Source organism: Homo sapiens, chromosome 20 (genome assembly GCF_000001405.40).
Source record: "Homo sapiens chromosome 20, GRCh38.p14 Primary Assembly".
Lineage (NCBI taxonomy): Eukaryota > Metazoa > Chordata > Mammalia > Primates > Hominidae > Homo > Homo sapiens.
In genome coordinates, this window is record NC_000020.11 from 11,307,130 (window position 1) to 11,334,318 (window position 27,189).

At 35.3% G+C, this 27,189-nt stretch overlaps 1 long non-coding RNA gene across 1 annotated transcript in view; it reads right to left on the minus strand.

The window, feature by feature from the left end:
- Positions 1–2,678: 2,678 nt before the first annotated feature.
- The window catches only part of LOC105372529 (uncharacterized), a 117,487-nt gene continuing 92,976 nt past the window's right edge, over positions 2,679–27,189 (minus strand). Inside the window, exon 3 of the long non-coding RNA XR_937261.2 lies at positions 2,679–6,031. This is a non-coding gene — a long non-coding RNA (uncharacterized LOC105372529). The remainder of the gene's footprint in view (positions 6,032–27,189) is intronic.

Here is a 27,189-nt window from a genome sequence, read left to right on the forward strand (position 1 = left end):
GAGGTGAATCAGGGAATTCTTTCCTATAAAAATTACCAGATATATGATAGATAAAAAGGATTTAAGTAGATGGAATTTGGATAAAATGTGGTTCAGATAGAGGGAACGGATACGCAAAAGGGATAATTGTGTATCTAATAAAATGAATTAATTTCAAGGTACTTGGTAGAAAAATAGTATAAGAGAGGGCTGAAAAGAGCCAAGTCCTATATGACCCCATAGACTGTAGAAAAAAAATTAAAGCCCTACCTTAAGAGAAACAAGAAGCCGTGGCAAGTTTTTCATCATGCTAACATAATCAGACTTGATTTTTGAAATGTAACCTACAGTGAGGATAGAGCAAAGGTAGCTACGGTGGATGTCAGAAAACCAGTTAGAAAACTACTGCAGTGGACTAGGTAACAGGGGATAGTATCTTGAATTGGGAAGGGATGTCAGAAGCTCTCCACTTCAGGAGAGCTAAAGTGGTTTGGGAGATATTTTAAAGGTGAATTTGGTGGGAGAGGAAGCAGAGAGAAGGGGAAGTAAGGGATGATTCTTAGTTATCCAGCTGTGCAACTAGATAGAAGATGTCCTCCTTTAATGATATAGAGATCAACAGTAGAACAAGGCCTAAGCCATTGGTTAAAGGAATAAATTCAAGCTCAATCCTGTTGAGCTAGAAGTGCCTTTGAGATATGTAAGTGGAAATGTTGAATAGGCACGTAAAATTAAGTGTCTGTGTTTGGAGCTTAGACAATAAGGTTTTAGATAGAGAAAAAAAATATATGGGAGGAACTGATGTCATGGATTGAGGCTAATTGAAGCTGTGGGTGTAAATGAAGTAGCTCAGGAAAAAAATATGGACTAAGGATTGCTGTGAGTCTAGAGATGAGCTGTGTGATACTCTAATATTTATCTGGTATTAAAAATAATTTTCATGAAGACATAAAATCATAACTTTTATAAACATGTAAATGAACACAAGTTAAAGACTTTAGTGACTTATTATTAATAATGGAACAAGGTAGATCTTACAACATGATTTAATCTTCATATTGATCTACAGATTCAACACAATTCCTATTGAAATCTCAACTGGCTTTTTCTTTTTTTATTTTTATTTTTTTTAGAAATTGACAAACTGACCCTAAAATTCATATGGAAATGTAGAGGACTCCAAATACACAAAACAACCTTCCAAAACACGAAAGAAATTTGAAAGACATACATTTTCCAATTTCAAAGCTTACTACAAAGCTATAGTAACTAAGACTCTATGGTATTGACATGAGGATAGACATATGAATCAATAGAACAGAATTGACAGACCAGAAATAAACTAACATTTATAGTCAATCGATTATCAACAAAGTGAGCAAGCAATTTGTTGGAGAAATAAGAGCCTTTTCAACAAATTATGCTGGTACAACTGGATATCTACATGCAAAATAATGAATTTGGGTGCCTATCTTACACTATATGCACAAATAACTCAAAGTGAATCACAGACCTAACTATAAGAGCTAAAACTATAAAACTATGAGAATAACACATAGGTGTAAATTGTGAAGTTAGATCAGACAGTGCTTTCTTATATATGACACCAAAGTGTCAATAGAAAAAATAGGTAAACTAGACTTCATCAAAATTAAAAACGTTTGTGTTTCAAACTACGCAATTAATAAAGTGAAAGATAGTATCTAGTCTTGGAGAACATACTGACCAATCACGTATCTGATTAAGAACTTGTACCTAGAATATATAAATAACTCTTAAAACTAAATAACAAAAAGCCAAATAATTCAATTACAAAATGGGCAAAGGATTCAAATAGATAGTTCTCTGAAGAAGATATGCAAACAGACATTAAGCATATAAAAGGATGCTCAATATCATTAGTCATTAGTGAAATGCAAAACAAAACCACAGAAGGTATTACTTCATACCCCTCAGGTTGTCTATAATAAAAAAGACAGACAATAGCAAGTGTTGGCATGGACATGGGAAATTGGCATTACCATACATTTCTGTGGGAATGTAAAATGGTGCAATTGTACATACTGCATTTTGGCAGTTTTTTAAAATGTCAAATATACAGTTACCGTATGGGCTAGCAATTCCTAAATATATACCCAAGAAAAATAAGAACATATGTCATACAAACTCTTGTACACTCATGTTCATAGCAGCATTATTCATAATAGCAAAAAGTAAAAACAATACAAATGTCTACTAGTTGATAATAAATAAAATGTGGTTTTATATATACAATGAAATATAATTTAGCCATTAAAAAGTAGTGAACTATTTATACATGCTACAAAATGGATTAATCTAAAAAATATTATACTATAAAGGAAGCCAGTCAGAAAAAAAACATATATAGTATGTATCCATTTATATGAATTGTCTACAATAGGCGAATCTATAGAAACAGAAATTAGACTAGTGTTTGTCAAGGCCCTGGGGTGAGATTTGGGGCAGGTGTTTGGTGAGCCATTGCTAATGGCTACAAAGTTTTTTTTTGTGTTGGAAATTTAAAAATCAAACAAACAAAAACCTCGTACCATCTAAAATGTTGGAAATATTCTAAAAATGATTTTGTTGATGATTGCACAACTCTATAAATATATAAAAATATTGAATTGTACACTTGAAAAATGGGTGAATTTTATGGTATATAAATTTTGTTTCAGTAAAGCTGTAAAAAATGAGTACAAATCAAAATAATAGACTATTGGTCAAGTATACTGAATACACAGAAATGAAATTGCAATTTGCTCAAATCTGGCTTTTTCACAGGAAAGGGGTTGTTCATCCACATATAAAATTTATTTGCATGTGTACAGACAAGAATTAATTGCATTGCCTTTAGTGCTGTACAGCATACAGAGTTATAAAATTGCTCTGCACAGGATTATGAAATAGCTTAAAGCAATGAAAGGTCCAGAGCCCCTCATAGAATCAGAATCAGATAATTCAGGAGAAAATTTTTTTTAGGTTTTTTTTTTCATTTGTATTGTGCTAAAATACCTATAATGTAAAATTTACTATCTTAACCATTTTTAAGTGTAAAGTTCAGTAATATTAAATATAGTCATATTATTAGGCAAACATCACCACCATCCATCTCCAGAATTCTGTTCATCTTACAAAACTCAAACTCCATACCCGTCAACTCCCCATTCTCTTGTTCTTGCAGCCTTTGGCAATCACCATTCTACTTTCTGTCTCTATGATTTTGACCTCTCTAAGTACCTCATACAAGTAGAATAATAAAATATTTGTCTTTTTGTGACTGGCTTATTTCACTTAGCACAATATTCTCAAGGTTGTAGTATACTTCAGAATTTCTCGCCTTTTTATCGCTGAATAATAGTCTATTTTATGTGGATACTGCATTTTGCTTATCCATTCATCCATTGATAGACACTTGGGTTGCTTCCATTACTCAATGCCTTTCCACAAGGTTCTATTGGCTAAAGCAAGTCTCGCGAGCTGGCTAAAGCAAGGCCAGCTCATATTTAAAGGGGATGAAGAAATAGACTTTACCTGTCAATGAGAGGAGCTGCAAAGTCATGTTACAAGTTGTGTGGTTATATTGAGTGGAACAATTAGGGTCATTTTTGCAAATAATTATCATAATATCCTGTTTTTCTTCTTAAACTGTACCTAGATTTGCAATTGCATATTGATTAATGTGTTCTGGTTATTGTTGTTAATGCTAATCCCTCCCACCAGATGAAAGCCACAAAAGCGCCAAGACTGTGCTGGTTTTTATTTAAGTTGGATGTTTGTTCCTAGCCTATTTTTTTGGTGCATAAGACGCACTAAGTGAATGGTTAATTAATTACCCCCTGGCTAATTCCCCGGATTGATGCAAGCACTGGAAATAATGTTGGCAAGGTGACCGAGACAGATCTTGCAATTGACTATCTAGTATCCACTGAGAAAAGGTATGGCTGATGACAGCTCAAATATATTGTTATATATGTACCACCAGTTGCCGGTTAGGTCAGCACAACTGGAGATAATTCATAGACATACAAAATCACTTTAGAACATCTGAAAATCCTTTGGGAAAGAGGCTGAGGGCATGACGGTCCTGCTTGTGTTGACAACATTGATAAGTAGTTAAAAAGATTATTAAAAATATACATGCATGGACTACCCACTCTAAGATTTTGAGTTAACAGGTCTGGAGTGGGGCCCTGGTATCCACATTAAAGGCAGTTAAATGTTCCAGTTGCCTTTTCCCTCATGCTCCGAGGAATAGTTCAGTGCAGTCCTTTATGGGTACCAGCACCAATGGGTCATAGTTCTGAGTATCAGCTCTACAGGGCCACTTGTTTGCATTTCTGAGGAATCAGGAATAGTTAGAAAGCACCACCATCTCAAGGGCCTGGGTTGCAGCTTTGCAGGACTTTCCTGCAAAAAGTAGGACAGATAGCCGTCCCTGTATTTACTCTGTCTGTTGCATTAATGTTTCTGTTTTGCCTTTTCGTACTCACCCAATTTCCTACGTTAAGTACATTCTGTTAAAATAGCTGGTATGGTTTTGGTTTTCCTGACCAAGCCTTGACTAATATACACATTAAACTTCAAATGCATTCATTTTCTTCCCTTGGAGTCACCTGGCATAGTTTCCTGTACATGGTTCTCCCATTGAGGAAGGTGCTACATAGAATAAACCCTTGCCAGCATCACACCCTCACCCACACTGATTGTTTGGAAAACCCCACCCAGATGATGTTGCTACACACCCTGGGGCCCAAAATATCCCTACCGACTTGTGGAACATGTTGTACACATATGACAATTCCAACAACAGACATCTGTTTTGAGATATTAGAGGTTAATCTATTTGGCCTACACAGATGGAGCCACATGAATGAAGGAGAGAAAAGCAATTTAGTCTCACTTGTTAGCAGTGACTTGGCTGGGGAGTGAAGGGCCATCTAGGTCCCACCCTGTTGATTTCCGGAACAAAAGTAATTACATTGGCCAAAGCCAGGAAAATCTCACCCTCTATTTATAGCGTGTTTGATTCCCCAGAGACAGATGGAAGAACCTGAGTCTAAGCATGTACCTGATTCTATGATCTTCTTTTAAGATACTACAGTACTCTAATGGGCAAAAGTAGTACACGGTTACTCCCTGTACCAACAGATATTTCTTTGGGAGCTAAAGTTTAGTGAAGATATTGGGTCAAAAAACAGAACAGAAGTGGACAACTGAGATTTGTTTTCCAATTTTTACATCCTTTTTTTTTTTCACATAAACATGAACTTTGTTTTAGCATCCTGATGCCTCAGTTCACCTACTTACAAAACATCTCTCAACCACATACATTAACGTATAGAACTGTTGAAAATCTAAGCAGGCCCAATATGAAACATAATTATTTAAGAAAAATGAGTTTACTAAAGTCTCCATTTGCCCCAAATCTATCAAATCCATTTGTATTATAGGATCTAGCTCAAATCCTATTTCCTCCAGGAAACCTTGCCAAATCCACAGCTAGAAGTAATATGTTCTCCTCTTCAATCCCCATGCATGTTGCTTTGGCCATGAAATGGGCAGAAGTGATAAGTGTAATTTCCTAGCAAAGGCTTGGGAACCAGCATATGCCTTTTCATAATTTCTTTTTTCTTTTTTCTTCTGCAATGGAACTAGTAATAGATGTATCTCAATCAGTCTGCACCTGTGAATAAAAACATCTAAACCAAACGCACAGCCCTGGATGAGGTAGCATGGGCTACAAATAGAAAACCTTCACTGATGTAAGACATTGAAATTTGGGGCTAGTCTGACTGATACAAGCCATGTGGTATGTTATATGTGATAGTACTGAATTAAAAAAAAAGCTTCCACCATTTACATGACTGGAGACATTGACACCAAGATATTTAACTTTCCTGGACCTCAGCTATTCCATCTGCCAAATGGGAATAAAATCTTCTTGCCCGAAGGTAGAATGCTGGCTCTCTTGAAATTTATTTCTTCTCTGATATATGAAGCTGAATTCCTTACTGTTTCAAGGTTCCTCCTAAGGAAAAAAAAATTACTTCTATTAGCAAAGATGTCCATTCTTCAGCAAAGCAAATGTCTAAGAAGTCATAGTTGTGAAGACTTGTCTGCAGAAACAGGGAAACTTTCCAAAACATCAACTGCCACATCCATCCATCAGAAAACAAACAAACAAAACAACAGAATTAATGAGACACACAGAACTGAGCTATAGTCCTATCGAAAAACTAAATTATGCAACAGCTGCAGTAACCCCAGATATTGTTTTTGTCTTCTCATTTTTTTAGATATGTACAATTGGCGGGAAGGTATTCATGTTTGGCATTTCTTTTTCTCATACTTTGGCCAAAGATGACAATTACCTGGAAAGAAGGGTAGCTATGCTCACCAGTAGGCATTTGTGCATGCTTCTAGCTGACCAATGCCAGAATAAATTTTTATAGGCACACTGAGAGTATTACATTCCAGGGGGTGTTTTCATAGAGCTCTTCTCAAAAAGTTGGCCTCTAGTTCCTCCCAGTACCTCATAAGTTGCCACACAAGGTAGATCAGCCTGACTGCCAATTTGAGCAACTGGCAATGCTTTGGTGGAAAACACCAAGCTAGTCTCTTCCCAGAGTAACATTTGATGGGGATTGGGTCAAATGGGCTATACTTTAGCTATATTAAATTTATTTTAGGTAAGCCTTCTCTCATTATAGAGTCTCAAAGGGGTTTGTTTTTTAATGCAATTTTCTTGCAAAATTAGGGCATTTGCCAAAATTATCATGGTGGAAATTTGGGGTTTCAGTTTTGAATTGACAAAATGGCTTTATATTCAGGAGGAATCCCACTACTATGAATGTCAAAGGTACCTGGATATTTTTTTCATCACCTCATGTCTGCTGGAGACTATGCTTAACACTGAAATATGATCAATCAGAGACTGACTCCTACTTGGGACTGTGAATTCTAAGGATGTGATGAAATGGCACAGGGTCAGTAAGTCATTGTGATAGCCATTGTAGAGTTGATAGTTCAGTGATATTGAACTGTGTTCTGGGAATGGTTACTTAGCAGCACAGGGACAAATATATAGTGCAGCAGTGCAGGAGAACTGCCCAGAGATAATGGTACAAACACCATGATGGTACAAGTGGCCCTTCCTGGACCACTTGTCATGACCAGGTCTTGGCTAAGCCCTTGCTCCTCTTGATACCTCTTCAAGTCTCCTTTCCAGGGTTACTGAATGTTTTTGAGAATACATTGTTACCCTTACTTTCTACTTAAGTTAAAATAAGATCTTTTTTTTTTTTTGCCACCAAGTGCTTTGACTAATGTTTCATTTCTAATATTCTCAAGTTTCATTTTGAGAATTTTAATTTTAGAATTTCTCATGCATTGTTCTCCACGCTTTGCTCTTTTCTTAAAAGTCTCTTACTCATCTCTTGAAGTTTTATCAAAACCTCATTTAACACTGGGACAGTAGGATCGTGTTTACATTTTATTTGGTATGCTAAATATGTAAATTTAATTCTGTTCAATGAATCTATTTAAAAAGTCTATGTATACCTTTTGAAATCTCTCATGGTACTTGAGTTTTAAAATATTAATAGTATTTTAAGAAAATCATTCTAAAATATTTGGACGCCCATTTATATGCAAAAAAAAAAATTTTTAATGGATCCTTCCCTAAATTTATAACCTAAAACAATAAAAATTCTAGAAGAAAACATAGAAAAATAGAAAATTATGTGACTTTGGGATAAGCAAAGATTTCTTATATGTTACACAAATGTACAATCCAGAAAATAATAAATTAGACTTAATCCAAATTAAAAACCTTTACTCTTCAAAAGACATTTTTAAAGAAATGAAAAACCAGGCCACAGACCAGGAGAACATATCTGCATAGTACATATCTGATAAAGTACTTATAGTCAGAATACAGAACTGTCAAAATTAAACAATAAAAAGTAAATAAAACAAAGAAATACACAATCCAATTCTTTTTAAAAGGGGCAAAAAAATCTGAATACACACTCAATGAACAAGATATACGGATGACCCAGTTACAAAAAGTGCTCAGTATCATTAGCCATTAGGAATACAAATTAAAGCCACAAAGAACTAACAATACACATCTGTTAGAATAGCTAAAGTTGTCATCAACATTATCATCATCACCATCACCATTATTATTATAAAACTGACAATGCCAAATGTTGGCAGGGATCCAGAAACACCAAGATTCACATACATACATTCCCATGCATATGAACACTGCTGGTGGGAATACGAAATGGTACAGCCCCTCTGGAAAGTAGTTTGACAGTTTCCTACAAAGTTAACCATATACTTTTTATATAATCAATCTGTCTTTTAGGTACTTACCCAAGAGAAATAAAAATCTATGTTCACAAAAATACCTATTTACACATGTTTATAGTGACTTTACTAATAATCTTCAAAAACTGGAAACAGCACAAAAGTCTTTCAACTGGTGAACGTTTAACCAAACTGTGTTATAATGTTTAACTAAATTGTGTTGTATCCCTACAATGGAATGCTACTCGATGATAAAAAAGGAATTATTAACATATGCAACAACACAGAGAATCACAGATGCAGTATGCTAAGTGAGCAAAGCCAGGACCAAAGGGCTACTTACTGCATAAGTCCATTTATATAACATTCTGGAAAAAGGAAAACTATAGAAACAGAAACTATCAGTGGTTACCAGGAGCTGGGTATGTGTATGGGGTGTTTTGTTTTGACCTCAGATACTTACCATTTATTTGTGGTAAGGACACAAAAAATCTACTATTTTATCAGGTTTCAACTACACAATACATTGTTATTAACTAAAATCATCATGTTGTGTGGGGTGTTTGGCTACAAAGAGGCACAAGGGAATATCTAGAGATGATGAACTGCTCTACATCATAGAACTATCCCATTAAACAGACTAAATTTTACTCTATGTAAATTATATCTCAAATCATGACTTTTAAAATGTTAACAGAAAATTATTTGTTCTCAAATTAAGTACTAGAGAATGTATTCATTTAACAAACATTTATTGAGTGCCTACTATGTGCCAGATCTGGCTCTAAGTGCTTAAAAACAGTGAACAAAATACACAAAAGAAACTCTGTCCTTGTGGAGCTTGCATTCCATCAGGAGAAGCAGTGAATAATAAGTGTGATAAATAAGTGAAGAACAGAAAACAATGCTTCCACAGACATTACTGTATATGAGAAACTAGAAGGTGTGTGAAAATACAGAACCCTGTGCCCCACTCTGGTGATGCTGATTCAGCAGGTCTAGGGTGGAGCCCCAAAGTTTGCATTTCTAACAAGCTCTCAGGTGATGCTGATGCTACTGGTGAGGGAACTACACATTGGGTAGTTCTGACATATGATGTCAGAATGTGGTGCCATAAATGTAAGAAAAACAATGACTAAAGGAATATTAGGAAGGAAATCTGGGAAGATGTAGATCTCAACTTTAAATAGTGGGCTTCATGGAGCAGTTGGCTTTTGGGCAGAAACATGGAGAAGAGGAGGAAGTTGGCTGTGTAGATATCTGGAGAAGACACTGCTAGCTAAATAAACAGCCAATGCCTGTGAATTATGTCAGGGGACATGTTTACTTTTTTTTCAAGGACAGAAAGAGGCCAGTGTGACAGGAATAGAAAGGGTGAGAAGGAGATGAATAAGAGATGTGTTCAGAGGAATAATTGTAGGAGGAGAGTAGGCAGAAGAAGTTAAGGCCTTTCATTTTTGCTCCAACTAAAACATGAATCCACTGAAAGGTTTTGAACAGACAGTGACATCATTTGACTGATAGCCTACAAGAACCACTTAGGCCATTTTGATGAGAGTAGATAAAAATGGAAGCAATTCACTCACCTAAAAGGTTGTCTTAGAAACCTAGATGAGAGAATACTTTTGCATAAACCTCGTGGCCAATTGTGCATCTTCTTTGAAGAAATATCTGTTCAAGTCCTTCGTTCATTTTGGTTATTTGTGTCTTTTTCAAATTAGTGTTAGTAGTTCCTTATGTATTTTGGATATTAAGCTCTTCTCACATATATGGTTTGCAGTTCTTTTCGCAGTTCTTTTCCATAGCTGCTTTTTCACTCTGTTGATTGTTTCCTTTGTTGTGCAGAAGCTTTTTAGTTTACTGTTGTCCCACTTGTCTATTTTTGCTTTTGTTGCCTGTGCTTTTGATGCCATATCAAAGAAATCATTGCCAAGACCAATACTAAGAAGATTTTCCCCTACATTTTTTTTCTAGGAGTTTTAAAATTACAGGTCTTACATTTGAGTCTTTAATCCATTTTTAGCTGATTTTCTGTAAAGTATATGGGTCTAAGTTTTATTCTTTTGCTTGTGAATATCCAGTTTTCTCAGCACAATTTTCTAAAGAGACTATCTTTTCCTCATTGTGTATGTTTGGCACTCTTGTTGAAGATCAGTTGACCATATTAATGTGGGTTTATTTCTGGGCTTTCTATTCATTTAATTGGTCTGTATGTCTGTCTTTATGTCAGTACTGTACTGTTTTAATTACTGTAGCTTTGTAATATATTTTGAAATTAGAAAGTGTGAGGCCTCCAGCTTTATTTTTCTTGCCCAAGATTAGTTTGGCTGTTCAGAGTCTTTTTTTTATTCTCACTGTTTGGGATGGGTTGTTTTCTTTTTTTTTCTTTTTTTTTTCATAAGTTTTTGGGGGGAACAGGTGGTGTTTGGTTACATGAGTAAAGTAAGTTCTTTAGTGCAGATTTGTGAGATTTTGGTGGACCCGTCACCAAAATCTTACAGTGTATAGTATACACTGTATGCAGTTTGTAGTCTTTTATCCCTCACCCTCCTCCCACCCTTTCCCCAAGTCCCCAAGGTCCATTGTATCATTCTTATGCCTTTGCATACTCACAGTTTAGCTCTCATTTATGACTGAGAACATATGATGTTTGATTTTCCATTTCTTAGTCACTTCACTTAGAATAATGGTCTTGAATTCCATCTATTTGCTGCAAATGCCATTATTTTGCTCCTTGTTATGGCTGAACAGTATTCCATGGTGTGTGTATATATATATGTGTGTGTATATATATATCTCTCTCTCTCACAATTTCTTTATCCACTCATTGATTGATGGGCATCTGGGTGGGTTCCACATTTTTGCAATTGTGAATTGTGCTGCAATAAACATCATTAATCACCAGGGAAATGCAAATCGAAACTAAAATGAGATAGCACCTCACATATGCTAGTGTGGTTATTATTTAAAAAAAGATAATGAGTGTTGGCAAGGATGTAGAGAAATCAGAACTCTTGTATACTGTTGATAGGAATGTAAATCAGTACAGCATTGTAGAATTCAGTAGGGAGGTTCTTCAAAAAGTTAAAAATAGAACTATCATATGATCTATCAATTCCACTTCTGGGTATTTATCCAAAGTAATTGAAATCAGGATCTTGAAGAGATATCTGCACTCCCATGTTCATTGCAGCATTATTCATAAAATCCAAGATATAAATGTCTATAAATAGATGAATGGAAAGAAATACACACACACACACACACACACACACACACACACACACACACACGAATGTTATTCAGCCTTAAAAAAAAAAAGGGAAATACTGCCATATGCAACAGCATGAATGGACCTGGAAGATATTATGCTAAGTAAAATAAGCCTGTCAAAGAAGGACAAATACTGCAGGATCCCACTCAGATGAGCTACCTAAAATAGTCAAACTCATAGAAACAGAATAGAATAGTGGTTGCCTGGGGCTGGGGGGAAGGGAGAAATAGGGAGTTGTTCAATGGTTATAAAGCTTCAGTAATGCACGATGAATAAGTGTTAGAGATCTACTGAACCACATATTGCCTATAGTTAATAATACTGTATGGTACACTCAAAAATTTAAGAGAGTAGATCTCAAGTGCCCTCCTCTCCCACCCAGCCCCTGGCACACACACATGGAAGCAGGGGGAAGCTACTGGAGGTGATGAATATGCTTATTACTTTTATTGTAGTGATGCTTTCATGAGTGGATGCATATGTTCAAACTCATCAAATTGTATACATTAAATGTGTGCAGCATAGTATATATTAATTACACCTCAATAAAACTATTTCTTTAAAAAAGAACCCTAGATGAGAGAATATTGAGACTTGGACCAGAGTGGTACAAGTGGCAGTGGTTAGATTTTAAGTCTACTTTTAAGATAAAATCCATAGGGTTCCTTGATTGATTAAATACCAGTTATAAAAAAGAGAGGGTCAAGTGTGACTTGAAGGTCATGGACATGAGCAACATCCCTAGATATGATGGACATGAGCAACATCCCTAGATATGAAGACTGGTAGATTTGACTTACAATCTACCAGTCTCAGGTTTCCAAACATTAAGCTTGCTAAAAGACTTTGGCTGGCAAATATCTTCCTTTCTTAACTCTGCAATAGTGGACAAAAGTTACATTTTTCCCAATAATAAGTGAGAAAAATATCAGAATAAGAAGCTGTGTAAAGTAAGATATATCTTACATGATGGACTTGGCCATAATAATCAAGGTATTCTTTATTGTTTTTATCACTCTCCTTATCATCTTGATCATCATCATCATTGTATTTTAGATTTTAAAGGAATCTGGATATTAAGAATCCGATGCACTGATTTTCAGGTGAGAACAGCCAATCTGATGCTCATTTCAGCTTGCAATACTATTTTTAGTAAACTCCATTTCGTAGAAAGATTTTTCTCTTTTTAAGAAGATTAACTGGTATTTTATCATTTAAAAGCTGAAAATTACTTCTAAACATCTTTGCTGACAATTTTAAGGAAATAATACTATGTGACTAGTGAAGACCTAACTTTTTGGACATTACACTTTTATGTCTCATTATCTCTATTTATTCAATGAGAGGCAAAGACAATTTTTTTATTAAAATATATATAAGGCACTACTAGAAACACAAGATGATTAAGATAATTTCCACTCACAAGGAGTTTATAATCTAAATTTAAGAAAGATATACAACATATTTTTTAATATTTCAATTTCATAATGTTTTCACATTTGGAAGCCTATTGCATCATATATTTTAATGCAACATCAATAAGATTTAGAGAAGATATTTTTAAGAATAATGAGCTTGCTGTAAGAGGAATATATACTTAGAATTAACAAATGTGCCTTTGAAGTACTTAGAAGCATGTGTTGCACTTACCTGACAATCATTAACCATTATCATTGTTTAAAATTATTTCCATTGCTACTATTATTACTACTACTGTCCTTACTAGTAATATTTTTCCAGGTTCCATGTATTGAATAAAAAGTAAGTGTTGACCTGGAAAGTGGATATGAAAGAGGGAAATCTGGATTTGAACATAGGCCAAAAGGTAGGAAATAGTAGGCTATGTGAACTCACAGAAATATGTTCATTGAGGTAAAAGGATGGGGTCAAATACTGCCTCTGATACTTATGAGGTATTCAACATTGTATAAGTTTCTTAATCTCTGTTGTGTCTCAAACAGAAAGAATTTTTTCAATTTGAAATAAATGAATGCTAGATAATAATTCAAAGCCACAAGAAAATATAAAGTTTTCCAGTAACAGTGAATACATAAACAAATATAAAAGCTAGTATTATTGTTGTGATTTATACTTGGCCTTTTAATTCTTTTATAGGATTTAAAAGGCAAAGCATAAAAATAATTGTATAAGTTAAAGAATACCCAGTATATAAAAATATCAGTTGTGATCTCAGTAATATAAAGTGTAAAGGCAAAGCTATACAGGATTGGAGATTTGTTTGGAATTGGAGCTACATTTCTATCAGTTAAAAATAGATTGTTATAACTTTAGGATGCATGTAATCACTTTAGTAACCATAAAGAAAATATCTGTAGAATATACAAATGGAAATGAGAAGGGAATCAAAATATGTCACTATAAAAAAAAAACTAAACGTAAAAGAGGGCAATAAGACAAGGAAGAAAGGATGTACAAAAAATCTATAAGACAAATTTCCAGAAAAACAACCTACCAGACTGAGCCATGACAAAGTAGAAAATCTTTGCAGACCTGCAACTAGTAAGGAGATTGAGTCAGTAATCAAAACTTTGCAACAAAGAAAAGCCAAGTACCAGATGGCTTCACATGTAAATTCTAACAATCATTTAAAAAAGAATGAACACCAATACTTCTAAACCTCTTCTAAAAATGTGAAGTGGCGGGAATATTTCTTAATTAATTCTATGAAGTCAGTATTATCACATCAAAGCCAGACAAAGACACTACAAGAGAAGACCACTAGAAGCCAATAATTCTGAAGAATAGTGATAGAAAAATTTTCAATAAAATAAAATCAAACAGAATTCTACAACCTATTAAAAGGATTATACATTCTGACAAAGTAGAATTTATCTCTGGAATTCAAGGATGGCTCAACATGTGAAAATCAGTGAATGTAACACACAACATTAACAGAAGGAAGAGAAAGCAAACATGCACACACACACACGACCATCTCAGTTGATACAGAAAATGCATTTTACAAAATTCAATACATTTTCATGATTAAAAAATAATTTGCAATGAACTATGTATTTTTAAAAAGCTATCTGCATGAAAAGCCCACAGATGGAAGACTGAAAGCTTTTTCTTTAAGATCAGGAATGAGAGAAGGATACCTACTTTCACCTCTTCTATTCAACATAGTACTGAGAGTCATAGAGCTATTACACAAGAAAAAGAAATAAGTGGAATCCAAATAGGAAAGAAAGAAGTAGAATGATCTTTAGATAACATAGTATTTAATGTAGAAAACTGAAAATTTCACACACAACAATGTTAGAACTAATAAAATAATTCAGCAAGGTTGCAGGGTACCTAATCAACGCACAAAAGTTATTTGTGTTTTTATACATTAACAATAAACAATCTGAAAAATATTAAGAAAACAATTTTATTTATAATAGAACAAAAATTGGTTTTTAGAATAAACTTATCTAAGGAAGAAAAAATGTATATACAGAAAACTATAAAATGTTGATTGAAAGAAGTTGAAGACACCAATATATGGACAGACATCACATAGACATGGCTTGGAAGACTTAATCTTGGTAAGATGGCAATACTACCCAAAGTGATCCACAAATTCAATGCAATCACTACCAAAATTCCAATGACACATTTTGCAGAATAGAAAAATTCATCCTAAAATATGTATGGGATTTCAAGAGACCCCAAATAGCCAAATAATCTTTTAAAAAAAGAACAGCAAAGTTGGAAGTCTAATCCATCTTGATTTCAAAGCTTAGTATAAAATTACAGTAATCAAAAAAGTGTGGTATTGACATTAAGACAGGCATATCAAACAATAAAATGGAATAAAGAGTTAAGAGATAAACCCTCCCTCAAACTGTGAATCTCTGAGAAGAAAACACAGGGAAAACTTTATATTGGTTTCAGCAATGATTTCTTGGATATGACATCAAACGCACAGGGAACAAAATCAAAATAGTTTAAGATATGATTCAGCCTTAAAAAGAAAGGAAATTCTGACATGTGCTACAGCATGGATGAACTTTGTAGACATTATCTTCGGTTAAATAAGACAGTTGCAAAAAGACAAATGCTGTATGATTCTACTTATAGGGTACCTAGGATAGTCGAATTTATGGAGACAGAAAGAAGAATGGTGGTTGCCAGGAGCTTAGGGGAAGAGTGAGTGAGGAGTTACTGTTTAATGGGTACAGTGCTTCAGTTTTGTGAAGTGAAAACAGTTCTGGATATGGATGGTGGTGATGGTTGCATAATAATGTGAATCTACTTAGTCCCACTGAACCCTATGCCTAAAAGTGGTTTCAAAAATAATGATCAACTGTCAAATAGGAAAGCTTAGGTCAGAAAATAAAACCCATCCATTGGGCTTGGAGATTTGGATTACATTCATAATTTTGCAAGTTAAGTGGCTCAGTGGAGGCACGCAACTACAGAATGAATAGAAGGTGGAAAAGTAGTGGATTGAAGGGCAGATACCACTGGTGAGGAGCTTGGTGAAGGCACGAAAAAGAGGGTTTCTAGAACGGTAAAATTTGTCCAGAACCCCAGGTGTGTTGCCAGTCACCTCTAGAATACACTTCCATTCTCCAGTTGCGGTGTTAGCCAACTTAGCGAAGTCACAGATTTCAAAGTGTAGCCCAGGACATACGTCTTTTTGATAAAAGACATATAAAATAAGTCTCCCTATATCAACAAAGCTATTGCTAATTAAAAATAATCATACTTTATTAATGTCTATATCAGTTTAAAAATATTATTTTTCGTTCTCAGAACAATCTTGCCATGCAGGCATTATCCTTATTTGACAAATAGGAAAGTCCAGTTGAAGAACTCCAAGGTCACAAGGGTCCAAATGACAGACTCTGTAACTCGAAGCCAGTGTGCTCCTGAATCCAAGTGTAGCTGTGGACTGATGGTCCTTAGCCTCCTTCCTCAGAATGGTGATCCATCACTCTGTTTACTTACAGGCAAGGGCATGAGGTAATGCCATTTATTCTGGCGAGACCATTGATGCTGTGTCTAAAGGAACCTGGCACAAATAGGTTCTCCGTAGGTAGACATATTGGGGAAATAGAAATACCCTTGAAGGACTAAGGCAACTTGGAAAATAGAAAGTAAGATGGATGGGTATGGATATGGAAATCCACTGAATCAGATACAGACACATTCCTTCATGGTTTAAAAAAAATAAAAAATAAAAGAAACTATGAAAGTACCAAAGACATGACCCTAATTCTCCAAGGAGCACAGTTGTAGGGCTGCTTTGGGTCTCTCTAGTTTCCGTGAGAAAATCTTGGCTGGCAGGGCCCCCTGATGAAAGAGAAATGACTCCTTGTGTGAGATTTAAAGCATTTCTAATTTGAAAGCAAACATAATTGCACATACTTTACATACACATGCCATGTGGAAATAATAAATGCATTTGTGATGAAAATGCTTGCTTCATTTATTATACTAGGAGTTTTTCCAAGAAATGGAAACAATTGTTAGAAGTGACATTAAATATTTAACTGAGTTTCTTTTTTCTTCTTTTTCTTCGTATTTTTTATTAACATATTTTAAAATGTTACTACCACCCAATAAGGCATATGGCTCCTGATTTGTCGGAGTCTTTCATTAGTTTAAAATGGAGAAATCAGTCTCCAAAAAACACATGCAACGTTAGAATATGACACAGGTGAAACCTGAAATGTAAAACTATGCTCTCCAAGGATTTTGAGGTCTGTGGAAAATAGCCTTCAATTCTTACACTGTGAAATGGGACTTCCTAAGTTAGGACTTGGAATAGCATTTGGTGGCATAGTAACCATGACCTAACTAACTGGATGGCTGTTTTCTGAAGTGGATAGTTGAATGGCCTTAAATTTTCAGGGTGAGATAGGCGAAAGTCCAGCCATTGATGCACGAGTTGTGAGGCAGGGAGATTTGCAAATGTAAGTATATTCGTGAGGAACCTACCTGCTATAAACTGAATGTTTGTGTTCCCTCAAAATCATATGTTGAAACCAGAATTCCCAGTGTGATGGAATTTGAAGATAGAGCCCTTGGGAGACTTTATGATAAAATTAGTGCCTTTAAAATAATAGGCAGGAGATCTCTCTCTCTCTTTCTCTTTCTCTTTCTCTCTGTCTCTTGCTCACTCTGCCATGTGAAGATACAAGGAGAAGATGGTTTTCTGTGAACCAGTAGGGCCCTTACCAAGAACATGACCATAATGGCACCCAGATCTTAGATTTCTAGGCTCCAGAACTGTCATAAAAATAAATGCTTGTTGTTTAAGCCATCCAGTCTCTGGTATTCTGCTCTAGAGGCCTGAACTGACTAAGACACTATGCGTCCATTAAATTGTGAGTTCTATTTCAAAAGACCACAAAAGCTCATTGTGATACGATTGTTGTATCAGCCAATACTGCATCATAAACCATCGCAAGGTCCTGTGACTAAAAACAATAAGCATTTATCATTGCTCATAATTCAGTGGATTGCCAATCTCAGATGACCTCACCTGGGCTTCCTCCTGCATGTGTAGTCAGCTATGGGCTAGGAAAACAATTCTGCTGATATTGGTTGGGCTCACTCACTGTTTGGTGTCTGGCTGGGTGCTGGCTGGTCATGGATAGTCTCTGCTTTGTCCCCACATGGTCTCATCATTCATTTGATTAGGCCACGCTTGTTCACATGGGGACTGACACCTCTGAAAGAATAAGCAGCTCTTCCATCCTCGGCTCTATTTCTCCTTCCTCCAACACACATAAACACACACACACATACCCCCAGACCGAAAATTTCAGAAGGTCAAATAGCAAATTTTTACCCAACATAGGATAAGTAAAGTGGATACTTCAGGGCTAAAATCATACATTTTAACACATCTTTCTCAGGTAGAAAAACTAGTCAAAGATTTAAAAAAATTGAACAATATGATTAATATTTAATCATATTATTAGTGAGAGGATTTGAATAATACGTTTCAAAAATTTGACCCAATAGCCATATGTGGAACACAACACCCAACAATTGCAAAATATACATTTGTTTCAATCTCATGGAAAATTTATAAAAATTGACCTTATACAGGACTATAAAGTTTCAATAATTTCAGAAAGTTAGAGTTAGTTTTATAGTTATGTATAGAGTTAAGGTAACTGTTAGGTTTAGACTGGAAGTAAGGAATTGGGTCTACCATTATCTTTAGGTTGAGCTTAGCTTTAGATGTAGGGTTTGTATTTAGAATAGATCTAATTCGGATTAGGGTAGATTTAAGACTAGAGTTATCATTTTGCTTGTTTTAAGACTAGTGTTAGTTTTAGTTTTAAGATTAGTACTAGAACGATTATTAGGTTAATGGTGAGAATTCATGTTGGGATTAGGATTAAAGTTAGGGTTGGGACTAGGTTTCATAATTCGGTCAGGGTTGGCTAGCATTTTATAGAATTAGTAGAGTTAAGGATATTATTAGCATTAAGATTTGGATAGACAAACTAATGAGGCAAAACAGAAAATCTGAAAACACACTTTCTTTATACAGGTGGCACTCTAGGTTAGTAAGAAAGTGGCTATCATTTAGTGGAGGCCACTGGACAAGTGGGTATCTACATGGGAAAAAATGATTTGGAATTCCTACTTCTCACTATCCTTAAAAATTAATTTAAGTTGGAGCATAGTGATAAATTGAAGAAAAAATCATACACATTTTAGAAGACAATATAAGTAACATTTTTCCTAATAATATAGGAGGAAAATGGTTTTTAACGTAAGATAAATGAAAAAAAACCTGATAAATATACTATATCAAAATGATCCATTTTGATTATTCAAAAGTCACTATTAAGAGAGTGGAAAGGCAAATCACATCTGGAAGATGTTTCAATACAAAGAGCCAAAACGACTTGCCTTAATGTATAAAGAACACCCGCAGATTAATAAAGAAAAGAAAACTAGCCCAAAAAACCAAAAGACTTAAATAGACCCTTAATAACAGTACACAGATTTGGCAAGAGATTTGAGCTATAAGAACTTTACAATTCTGCTGGTAGGTGAATAAACTGATACAGTTGATTTGAAAAATAGATTGTCAGCATGTAGTCTAGTTGAAGTTATAGCTATGTCCAAGTAATGGCATAGCAATAGATAGCAATACAGATACAAAATTGTGTGCTCAAGTGCAACAGGACAGAAGTTCATGAATATTCACAGTGGCATTGTTTTGTTTTTAATAGTTCAAAACTTGCATATTTCCCAAATTGAATCAACAATGGAATGGACAAATAAATAGTAACTAAAAACAGCCAGACACAATAGAATACATACAGATTGGATTTCATTTATATAGGGCTCAAAAACAAGAAAAAATAAAGCTACCTTGTTTAGGATTGCATCCATAGTCAGAAAGCAAGGAACTAATGATAACAAGTTCAGAAGTAGCTCTGATCAGAAAGTTGGGGAACTTCTGGAATGATGGCCCATTTCTCTTTTTTTTTGTTTGTTTGTTTTTTTCTGAGACAGGGTCTCACTCTGTCGCTCAGGCTGGAGCGCAGTGGCGCGATCACAGCTCACTGTAAGCTCCACCTCCCGGGTTCACGCCATTCTCCTGCCTCAGCCTCCCAAGTAGCTGGGACTACAGGCGCCTGCCACCATACCTGGCTAATTTTTTTGTATTTTTAGTAAAGACAGGGTTATGTTGGTCCACTTCTTGATCTGCATAGTGAATACATGAGTATTGTCTTTACAATAAATCATTAAGTTGTACCTTCAGTTTTTGTGGACTTTTCTGTAAGCATGCCACATATTATAACAAAAAGATTAAAACCATATTATTTTAATGGCTGCATTTTACTTAATGATTTACCTCATTGATAAATATTTACATTGCCTCCTCTTGTTTTCCCTGCTCAAAATAGTGTTTCAGTAGGCAAATCTTCATATGTATTTTTAAACTTCTTTCTTAGAATAGATTCCTGAAAGAGAAAAGACTGGGCCTAACCATATGGAGTTTTAAAGTGTTCTTGATATAGCATTAAAATATTTTCCAAGAATACTGCACCAGCTGCACTCCCTATAATGTAAAGATTTCTGAATCATTGCACATTCACCAGTATCAAATACTATAGTTTTTTTTAACCTATGCTTATTTAACTGGAGTGGGGAGATGGTGTTGAGAAACCAATATCGTGCTATTTTAATTTACATTTACTTGATTTCTGCCTAGTAAAATTGTTAAAGTATGCTACAACATTCAGATTGAAGGATCAAGAGTCAAATTTTTGGTGTTCGAATTCTGGCACTACCGCCCACACACTACTTGGCTTTGTGATGTTACCTAATCTTTGAGGGTCAAATTCCGTACATGTAATATAGAAAAGGGTGCTGTGATAATTAAATAAATTTTCTCATATAATAAGCATAGCACACTACTTGGCATATTTTAAGTCCCCTGTAAATGTGTGTGTGTGTGTGTGTGTGTGTGTATGTGTGTGTGAATAGTGTTGCATGGAGCACTGGAGATATGGGACATTAAGGGTGGAAAGATGAAGGAGGGAGGGAGAGAAGGATAGAGGATGAAAAGAAGGAAAAGAGATAAGAAGGGAGGGAAAGAGGGGAGGAGAAGAGCAAAGGAAAGAGGTTGGGAAGGAGAGGAAAGAAAGGAGGAAGGTTTGGAGTGGGGAAAGCAGGAGCTGATGGAGGAAGTTCTAAAGGGAGTAATGAATCAAGTGTTGGATGATAAGTTAAAGGGACTGGTGATCAGAAGCATTCAGTTCTTTATTCCTCCCAGAACAAGAGTTTATTTTTCAAAATTTAAAAACACAATATAGAGATAAACCATACCGGAAGCAAGTGTCAGTGATCAAGGCTCTGGAGACCCACAGTTCTGGTTCTATCAGTCTTTAGCTACATACTCTGGAACCACAACTCTCCGAACCACAGCAAACACCTAATGTTCGCTGCCTGCCTAAGAATTAAATAAGAAGTATATATAAAGCCTGGTTCACAGTATATTTCAGAAAATGAAAAAAGATCTTGTTTGACAATCACTACAAAAGTATTAGCAATGGCTTAACGTGTCATTACCTTAAAATTGGTAAATTTTAAATACCAGAATGTGATGAAAGAATTAATCACTTAGGAAAGGTTCATGGACTATTAGCATGTGAGTGTGCGTATGTGAGTGTGTGTTTGCCCATTCAGGGTAGAATCTGGAACGAAAATGTGGATAGCACAAATAAAGAAGAGATATTGAGAAAGTGTTCTTTGACCCATTTCCTTGAGCTATCAGGAAAATCACGGAAATCCCCGGTGTTGTTTGGCAGTTGAGTGGAACAAGGAAGGCACGGTGGCAGCCCTTGGCTGAGAATAAGAGAATCTTTACCTCCGTCATCACACCCAGAAAGACTTGGACTTACTGAAGCCAAGAGAGGCAAGTTAACAATGTTAGACCAAAGAGGCCGGGAACATGGGGTCTGAAACATCATGAGCTACACGGGACACATTTTATCAGGTAATCACATGTAAGTATCATGCACAATATGACCATTTCATTCTGTAACGTCAATTCCAATTCATAGCATGGGTATGCCTTGCTATTTTTCAGTGGTATTCCAAATATGCTCAAGAATAGCCGACTTTAAAAAAATATGAATAGAGGACCAAAAATACAAAGACAAAAAAACCAGTGTGTGAGTATCTGCAGGGATTTTACTTCATGGTGTTAATGATGTGAGATGAACTATTGGATGACTCAGTCAAGCTTGTCAGCCTAACTGCCATTCCTACAGGTTCTATTATTGTGTTCTCAAATCTCAACAAGCCTAGTAGAAAAGAAAAGACTCTAGGAATCAGGTTACATAAAGGGAAAAAAAAAACAGTGTGCTCTCTGGGAGCTGCAACCTAGTTAATGTATAAATAATGGCAAATTTATATTATAAAATATGTATTAAACATAGAGGATGACTGTCAGGTAAGGCTGTGGCCCTAGTAGATGAATCTCTTTCTCATACTCATGAAACCCTTCAAAACAATTGATGGATATGGGATCTGCTGAAAATCCTTCCACTTTTTGGACTAAGAATATCAGACTCAAATACTCAAATATTTTCCCGCATGAGAGAAATACTTCTCTAAGCTGTAACACGACAGCCCCTTCTAAACCTAGAAAGCTGATTACTAAGCTATCTGTGTTTGAACCAGCTCCCACAAATGTTGCTTATGAAATAACTTTATCTAGTTGAACTGATAACAATAGCTTTTGAAATTATAATATAACAATAAGAAAAACAAATCAAAAGTAATTCATTAGTCCCTAAAAAGGGCATTTCCTTGTAATGGTAGTATGTCATTTGGTTCTAGATTGCAATGGTAACATTCCCTTGAGGTAGAAGAGCTTTTATCTAATAATCTACAATTTCTATATGAGTCTTTTTTATCTGGAGCAGTAGTGAATGGTCTTAAAGGAGCCCAGACTTTATTTTGTGTATATCTTCTGGCACATATCACAGTTAATGGAGCTCTTTAAGATTTTCTCTAATGATGTTAATCAACACATTTTATAGTCCTAATCTGTAATTTAAATGGGAATCTAAGAATAAGATAGCATTTGGCTCAGAAGTAAAATGTGGGAACACCCTGGGCACACTGATTTATTTTGGTAAACAGAGCTGGCAAAGTTGATTTTAAGGCAAGAAGGCATATTTGATGAGAACAAGATGATAGGAGATTCTTCAAAACAATTGATGGATTTGGGATCTGCTGAAAATCCTTCCACTTTGTCTAATGTCTGATGATCAAATATCTTTGTACTGTGACCAGAGGGACATAATGAGTTAAAACACACACACACACACACACACACACACACACACACAAAAAAAAAAAAAAACGAACCAACCAGACAGAAGTTTACACCTGGGAAATTAAATTATCTGAATGGGGATCCTACAAGAAATATTCTCTAACTCCTGGATTCTGTCATAAGTGTCCTCTACAAAGTACTGAGATCATTTGTGTCTTGGCCTTCCCATGAACAGGATTGTGTTCTAAGTTGTATTGCTATTTTTCACAGAAAAATAAGTGGACAGTAAGGGAACAAATGGCTAATTGACTGGTTCCATCTCATTGGAGAAGGAGGAACACTGTCTAAATTGAAAGCAAATTTAATTTTTCCCTAAGTCATGTTTCTTGATGTCTCTGCAACATATAATGCACTTGACCATTCTTGTTTTAAAGCAAAAACAGCTTTGTTACGTTTTTGTTACTTAGCAAATTTGTAGTGATTTTAGAAAATTCACACAATATGGGAAAAAAATAAAAAAGAAAGTGAGAACCATCAAAATTCCTCTAATCATCATCCCTTTGACCCCTAAATAGCTAGGTCACCATTTTCAACATTGTAAAGATCATCTTCCTAGATATTTTTCTATTCCTTAAAGAAAGAACATCTATATGATTTACATAGATGGTATTATTTAAAAAGTGAGATGATGTGTCTCTTGCTCTCACTTATCAGCATGCCAAGTGCCCGATCTGGTTCAATAATACAGACATGCCTCATCTTTTTTATTAGGGCGATGTAATACTCCTTTGAATGTATGAGTCACATTTTATTTTACCAGTCTTCTAGCTGACAGACACTTAGCTTGTGTCCAATTTCTTATTATAGTAAACTACACTGCCATGAAAGTCCCAACTCTGTAACAGACACCTGGAGTGCCTTCCACCTCACTGGTAGTGTCCAGATTCTTGGACTTTTTTGGCCACTTTATCCTACACCATTTAAAAATGCTTCTTGCACCTCCTCTCTGAGAAAATACAAGCTCTGGAGCCAGACTGCCTAGATTTAATCTTATGATGTCTCTGTTACTATGGGCATTATTCTTTTACCTCTCTTGTGCCACAGCCTCCCGGCTATAAAATAAAAACAGACAACAATATGCATATCCTAGTTATAATATGGATAATAATAATAATATCAAATGAAATTATCCGTGTATAATGTTTGGCATGTATGTGTTCAATGTATTTCAACTATGGCCATTATTGTGATGTTCTCATTCATCTCTCTCAGAAAACCATTTCCCGTGTATTCCTGATCTTTCCTACTCAAGATTTCTAAATTATGTCTTTTGCCCACAAGTGTTCATTGCATGTTCTCAAATTTCTGGAAGACATTTATGCTGGATGTTCTAACACCACATAAATTTTATACAGATCAAAATGGCTACCAAATGACCTTAATACAATCCTCAGTGTCATATGTTATGGTTTCTCTTGTCTACTATATGCCCAGTCAGTCACAAATTCATGCTGAGTTTTCTCATTTCCTCAATGTGTTCCAAACCTATCTCTTTCCATCACCCTATTTCCAGCTTAGGTCAGACACTGCTGGGCTCATACTCAGATGATGGAATTATTAACACCTTTACGGAGACAATGCTTTCCATAAATGACATATCAGGAGGAAATCCAATATATTTGACAAGTGAAATCATCACTGCTGCTGTTATTGAGACAGGATTTAGGGCTTGGAACTCCACCTCTCTTCCTTCATCTTCCCCAAATGCCCCCTTAAGTAACTGAACCCCAATTATTCCTCCGGAAAGAGGAATTTCCCTTCAAGCTTCCACTTGCTTTTTCTCCAAGCTCTCCTGCACATGGGAGACAACATAATCAAACTAATGATACAACTGTGGTCACATTTCTCCCATGACCCAATCTATGCATAGTTGCATTCAAATTCCATCACTGACATTCAGTTCCTTCTCAAAAACTCCAAATTTAGCCCCAAGAAGTATTTTTGACTTTATAAATAAATCTATTCCAAAGTGGCCCAATAAGAATCTACATCATCATCTTGTTGTTACACATCTTGGTGTGGGGTTCATGCCCTCAAAGGCTGGCTTCCTTCCACCCACATGCTCTGACATCTCCACAAGCCCTCAAGGGCTTATTTAAATTCTGTCTCTGTGGTTTCACAAACATTATGGGACTCCCCTCTTAGATTTGAGCTCCCTTTTCTCTGATCTGCAGAAGTATCACATATTTCTGAATATCATTTTGTACTGAGAATGTGTCATGTTTTCTAAAACTTAAATTAATTTTTCAATGCCTTAGAGTGCCTCATACATGCTTAAAGTTCAGTCATAGACGCTGGTATCCCTGGATACAGTGTGCTCCAACAAGGCAAATTTTAAGATGCTGTGAAGGATTGGAAGGCTGTGAGTATCACCCTTCAGTCATTTACTTTTCATTTGTAACCAATGATGTTTCTTTTGGGGTATATTTGTATTCACTCTCACATCTTTTACGATTACAACTGTGGTTATTCTTCTGTAAAAATAAAACTTTGGTTTTTCTTTATTGAAAAAGGTAATATATGTATATATTAAAAACACAAATCATCTCCCAAAGTTATACAGTAGAAATAAGCATCCTTCTCCCTCCAAATCCCTCATCTCCTAGTTCTACTTCAAGGCCAGCATTGTTACAAATGTCTTAGTGATTATCTTGTAATCATAATTTGGCCCTGGACTTAACGCTGCCATTTCACCACAAAATTACGTTTTATTTCTCTCTGTGTCTGAAACAGTCAAGCAGACTTTGCAATCTCCTTCCTATCCTCAAGGATTACTGGCATCCTAGAAAACCTCCCAAGGCCCCACCCCTCTATGCTCTGGCTCAAAGCATCCCTTCAGTTTTAAACATTTGATAATGAGCTCACTGACCTTTTATTTAGACTAACTCTTCCTCTATTCCCACTTGGATAACTCAAATCAGACCCCTACAGCATCCAGTCTCCAAATTCCTGGAAGAGAACTACCAAGAGTAGAGTACTAATGTGGAACTTGGGCAACCAAAAAGAGTAAAGCCCATTAAATTAGCTTATCCATGAAAAAAAAAAAAAGTTGCTTATACTGAATTTGAAAATAAAGAAATATGAATAAATCTTGTTTGATGTGTTTGGATATAATTTAGAAGGTAAGAGAAAGAGCAGAGGGAATGGGGCAAATGAAAAACAGGGTTTGGGCAGGGTTACATTAAAGTGATTTCATTGATGAGATTTAAAAACTTAAAGTAATAATTAATTACTTTTATTTATTTTATTTTAGCATTTTATAAATAAATACAATTTTTATTTATAAATAAATAAAAATAAATATTTATTTAAAGTATTGAGTTAAAATTTAAGGTAAATTTTATTGATGAGAAATTCTGACTGAGGCAGGATCTCTGGACTAGATTCAGAACAAACATAATAAAATTCTCCACAGCTTGTGTGGATGCACACACCTACCTCTTCCCACACATGCCAACCAAAGAGATTCCATGACCAATTTCTGAAAAAACTTACATCTCAGGCCACACATGTTCTCTGCTGGGTATATTAATGGAAAGGCTGAATTCACAAACATCTATTTTCCAGAACTACTATTATACAAGCTGGGCTCTAATCACAGTCTGGGCCAAATTACTCTGCTCTGGTTTTAGAAGAATTCAGTTGGCGAGAAACAGTTGACTTGAAAACAGTCATTAGCTGAGTTCCTGACAACTTTATTGAATCAGAAAATTTATTTTTTTCAATACATTTGAACATGTCATGGATGCTTTTATGT